At 30.6% G+C, this 6,000-nt stretch overlaps 1 long non-coding RNA gene across 1 annotated transcript in view; it reads left to right on the forward strand.

The window, feature by feature from the left end:
• LINC02770 (long intergenic non-protein coding RNA 2770) overlaps positions 1-5,009 on the forward strand; it is a 278,575-nt gene extending 273,566 nt beyond the window's left edge. The window contains exon 10 of the long non-coding RNA NR_186758.1: positions 3,588-5,009. This is a non-coding gene — a long non-coding RNA (long intergenic non-protein coding RNA 2770). The remainder of the gene's footprint in view (positions 1-3,587) is intronic.
• The last annotated feature ends 991 nt before the right edge of the window (positions 5,010-6,000 follow it).

Genomic DNA, 6,000 nt, shown 5'->3' on the forward strand with positions numbered 1-6,000 from the left:
CTTTCCACTCCCAGGTATTGTCTTTTCATCCCCATTTCTTCCCTGTCTCCATCTTCACTGGCTCCTTCCCTTCAGTATAAGCTCACTTACAACAACTAAAATTCGCATTTATTCTAGCCCAGTCCCATTTTAATGAAAACAGTTTTCATAATATTGATGTTGCCAGGGCTCAATCTCATCCTAATTCCTCAATTCAGTGAAAGTTTTGTCATAATAATGTTGTTTACACTGCTCTCAGAAGGATCATTAATAAAAAAATCCATTGCTTAATCTGAACATTACTTTTTAGAATTTATTCTATTAACCTTTCTTTGCATTGACATTTCCAAAAGCAAATATAAAAAAAGTTTGATGTTAGAAGTCTGTCATTCTCCTGATCTCAATTTCCTTGTTCTCAAGGTACATCTCTAATGTCTCATTCTTGATTTCTAAACATTAACTGTTAGTGGAAGTGAGATGTAATAGCAACCAGAATATGTGGTTTCTTCTCTTTATGCATATACACTAATTATCATTCTGAAAAAGATATTTAAACTTTATGGTTCTCAAATACTCACTGTAAAATGAAGCTAATAAAACCATCTACAGTCTTCTAAAATGAAGATTAATTGCCAATTTATATTGGGAAACTCATTTAAAAATAAATAACCAGTTCTAGTCATAAAATATTCTTTATTAAATTGTTTTAGAAGCAAAAAAATTGGAAGTTGAATGTATGCACACTAATGTAAAATATACATTCAGATAAATGTTACATTTTACCCCTTGTTTTAAAGACTGAATAATTTAGTTATTTCAGAAGGTAATTTCTCTTTTTGTTATTTGAAAATATAATTAATAATCTATTGTCCCAAACCCATTTATAGTCTCTTAATCCAAAAGCCACCATAACATGAAATTATAGCCTGAAACATAAATAATAAAAGCATTGCGTTAATTCATTTATTAAGTCAATATTCATTGAGCATCTGCTAGTTGCTGAGGATATAGTGGTGAATTTCTTTGGGTTCCTGTACTCATTAAAATTATATTGTGTTCTAGACTTTTCTCATATGGTGATAAATGAACCCATAAGGATTATGTTCTAGAAGATTTATAGCATTGAAAGTAGTAATTGAAGACTGTCATTTCCTGTCTTTAAAAGAAATTAATAGAGTAATTATTTAAGTAGTTTACCTTTTAAATCGAACAAATAGAAATTCTCCAAAGCTATATGAGCATGACCCAATTTGGTAGACAGATTTGCACGATAATGTCTCAGTTTGTTCATCCTTTAGATCATGGGTCCACAACTGCCTTTCCATCAGCCAAATTCAATCCTCTCCTCGTTTGTATACATAAAGTACTATTGCAAGACAGCCATGCTCATTTATTTACGTATTGTTTATAACAGTGTTCTTACTATAGGAATAGTCGAGTAGTTTAAACAGAATCTACTAGCCTACAAAGCCTAAAATATGTACTCTCTGTCACTTTATAGAAATAGTTTGCCCACTATAGAAAAATACTTCTAACCAATCTCAAAATTTTAACAATTTTCAATCTTTATATTGTGTTCAACTTCTAAATGCTTACATTAGAAAAAAAGGAAAAGCTTTACATCAATAACATAAATTCCTACCTCAAGAAACTGGCAACATAGCAACATATATAGGGAATTAATAAGAAACAGAAATCAACAAAATTGAATATAGAAAAACAACAGTGAAAAAAATCAGTGAAACTGAAAACTGGTTCTTTGAAAAATGATCAATAAAATTTATAAACCTCTAGCAAGACTTAAAAAATAAAAAGATAGTAGAAACATATCACCGATATTAAATCAGGGATATTACTACTGACCTTGCAGTCATTAAAAAAATTGAAAGGGAAAATTATAAAAGAACTTTATGCTTATAAATTCAACAACTTAGAAGAAATAACCTAATTCCTCCTAAACCAATAAATATCAAAATTGAAGCAAATGAAATAGACAATCTGAATAGTCCTAAAACCATTAATGAAAATGAATTTATAACTTAAAAACTCTCAAAAAAGTAATATTCAGGCCAAGATGATTTCACTAAAGAATTCTACTAAAAACTTAAAAAGAATTAACATCAATATTATACAACATCTTTCAAAAAAACAGAAGAGACTGGAATACCTACCAACTCATTTTATGAGTCCACAATTACCCTGAGAACAAAACCAGCCAGAAACAGTACAAGAAGGAAGGAAGGAAGGAAGGAAGGAAGGAAGGAAGGAAGGAAGGAGGGAAGGAAGGAAGGAAGAAAGGAAGGAAGGAAGGAAGGAAGATCATCTCTTATGAGCTCAAAAACCCCGATAAGAATACATTAGTCTACTAAATACAGCAATGTATAAACAAATAATTAAATACCATTGCAAAGAAGGACTTATTTCAAGCATGCTAAGCTGACTTAACATTTGAAAATCAATAAATGTAATCCACAATACAAACATGCTAAAGAAGAAAAGCATTTTGGCAAGATCTGCCACTCAGTAAGATAAAAACTCTCAGCAAGTTAAGAGTTGAGAGGAATTATCTCAACTTGATGAAGAACATCTATAAAAAACCTAAAAAGCTAACATCATACTCAATGGTGAAAAAATAAAAACTTTCCTTCTAAAATTGGAAACTAGACAAGTATGTGTGTGTTCACTCTCTTACTCACCACAGTACTGGAAGTTCTAGCTGTTACAATAAGCAAGAAAAAGACGTAAATGACATAGAGATTGCAAAGGAATAAATAAAACTCTTTCTCTCTCTCGTTACAGATATCCATTATTATTTATGAAGAAAATCCCAAGAAATTCACAAAAGAAAAATAAACTCTCCTAGAACTAAGTGAGCTCATCAGAGTCACAGGATACAGATGGGCACACAAAAATCAATCACAATTGCATTTTTCTATATATTTATGTGTCATGTGATGTCAGGGATATGTTCTGAGACATGCGTTTTGCTGTCATGTGACCATAGAGTATACTTACACAAACCTAGATAGTATGGCCTACTACATATCTAGGCAATACGATATAGCCTCCTGCTCCTAGGCAACAAACCCATGCAGTTTGTTACTGTACTGAGTATTGTAGGCATAATGCTAAGCATTTGTGTATCTAAACATAGAAAAGGTACAGTAAAAATATGGTATAAAAATTTTGAAAAATGATATATCTGTATGGGGCACTGACCACGAATGACCTGGTAAGTGAATGTGAAAACTGGGAAATTACTGTACGCTGTTGTAGATTTTATAAACTCTACATTTAGGCTACACTAAATTTAGAAAACAAATATTTAATACAAAATTAACCTTAGCTTACTGTAACATTTTTACTTTACAACTTTATAAATTTTAAATTTTTAACTTTTTTACTCTCTTATAATATCAGTTAAAACAAGCACATTGTTCAGCTGTACAAAATATTTTCTTTCTTTATATCCTTATTCTATAAGCTATTTTCTTTTTTTTACTTCTTAAACATTTTTGTTAAAAACTGAGACACAAACAGAAACACTGTATACTTAGGGTCAGGATCATCAATAGCACTGACTTGGACCTTTACATTTTGTCCCACAGGAAGGTCTTCGTGGACAATATGTCCATGCAGCTGTGTCATCTCCTATAATAACACCACCTCCTGCTGGAATACCTCCTGAAGAACCTGCTTGAGGCTGTTTAAAATGGTTAACTTTTTTTATTTTTAATATATATGTAGAAGCAGACTCTAAAATAATGACAAAAGTATGGTGTAGTAAATGCATAAACCAGAAACATGGTCATTTATTATCAGTATTAAGTATTATGTACTGTATAAAATTGTACTGCTATACTTTTATACTACTACTAACACAGTAGGTTTGTTTACACCAGCATCACCACAAACACATAAGTAATGCATTGGGCTAGGACATTAAGATAGCTTGTCACCTATTCTATCAATATGTGATAAAAATTTTTCAGTTCCATTTTAATCTTATGGAACCACTGCTGTCTATGCGGCCTGTCGTTGACCCAAATGTCATTATGTAGTGCATAACTGTACTAATACTAAGAAAAACTGAGTGTTTGTATTTTAGAGTTAAGCACTGATACGTTTACAAATAAAATAATATCTGACGTTTGTTTCAAAGGAATCTGGATAAGAGGATATGGTAAGAACATATATGAAGTAAGATTGACCATGGGTTAATAATGTTTGAAGCTAAGTGGTAAATAATCTTTGTCCCAACCTTTGTGCATAGTGGTTCTCAAAGATGATCCCTGCACTGGCAGCAACAGGATCATTTGAGATCTTGTTTGAAAAGCAAACTCTGAGGAAACCACATATTTTGTAACCAAAACTCTGCACATGAGGCCCATTAGCCTGTGGTTTCACAAGCCCTTTAGGTAATTTTGATCCAAGCTAATGTTTCTGAATCACTGCTCCAGTATAAATAACATAGAATATTGCATGTATTTGTAGAGACATGACATTTGTATATTTTTAAGTTATCCATAATACAACGAAAAATAATGAAAACACCCAGGACAAATGTTTCACTGGAAAAATTTGAATAAAGTTTGCAGACATAATTCTAATCTTAAACACTTCCAAAAGACAGAAAAGGATCTATTCCCCAACCCAGTCTGAGAGTAGAAAATCTTAGCCCTGGAAGTGAACAAAGAGTATGAAAGAACTATTAAAGCCAGTCTCACTTATGAACAAAAGATCCAGTAATCTTAAGAAGTTAAGTAAATCTAGCATTATGTAAAAATAATAAAAATACATCAGAACGAAGTTGTATTTATCCTAGAAAATGAAAGTTGATTTAACATTAGAAACACTTTAAAAAGCAGGGAGGATTAAAGGAGTTTGTTTATTCTTAATATATTCTGTTTGTTTATTTCAGTGTTTTTATATGAGTATCCTTAAATTTTTAAACTGTGTTAAGATGCATGCTTATACTTGTTTTACTTTTCTGACTGGAAGATAAACCTAAATAAAGGTTGTGAAAAAGATCTTTAAATATTACATTTATTCTTGAAATTCTTGTTAACTTTTATAATTGATAGTTGATAAACAATTAGGAAGCATAAGGCACAATTCTAATAATTCTGCAACTTCCCCCTAGATATTCTTGAAATGCTTATATCCATTGGAATCTGACATTTAAAAAGTTCAAGATTTTCAATAATTTAATACACAAACGCTTAAAAGAGTAAATATAGTTGTGATTAAGAGAAGTTTGGCATTTAAAAATCATAGCAAACTGAAACTTTTCATCTTTTCATTTGTAACACAAAATATTAACTTAAATGATTTGATTTTTCTTTTTCTTTTTCTTTTTTCTTTCTTTCTTTTTTTTCTTTTTCTTTTTTTCTTTTTTTTTCTGGGATTACAGGCACATGCCATCACGCCTAGCTAATTTTTGTATTTTTAGTACAGACGGGATTTCACCATGTTGGCCGGGATGGTCTCGATCTCCTAACTCGTGATCCTCCCGCCCCCGCCGGCCTTGCCTGGGTTTACAGGCGTGAGCCATCTTGCCCGGCTGGTTTGATTTTTCAATAAAAATGCAATAATTATAAATAAGGAATAAAAAGAGTGTCTGTATTATAAAATATAATAACTTTTATTTTGCCTTTCGATATCCCTTTGGTTTCAAAACCAAATGTAATATAAACTGTCAATTTAAAATTGATTTATTAACAAATTATTATTTCCTTATGTAAACATTTAATTATTACACATCTCTGTTATTAAATGGAAAAAGTTGAAGATTGTATGAATATTATAGTTTATGCATGTTATACAATTAAATACATTATATATAGTTTAATAAAATGGTAACCCCAAATTTTAGAAATATATTCAAAATATTATATTTATAATATACTACATGAAAATCAAATTATTTTAACATTATTTAGGGGATTGGTGGATTACATATTGCTATAGTCAATGTTAGAATGCCAAAAAATTTGGAAATCCTGATGTCTATAGGTACAT

The sequence above is a fragment of the Homo sapiens genome, chromosome 1 (genome assembly GCF_000001405.40).
Source record: "Homo sapiens chromosome 1, GRCh38.p14 Primary Assembly".
NCBI lineage: Eukaryota > Metazoa > Chordata > Mammalia > Primates > Hominidae > Homo > Homo sapiens.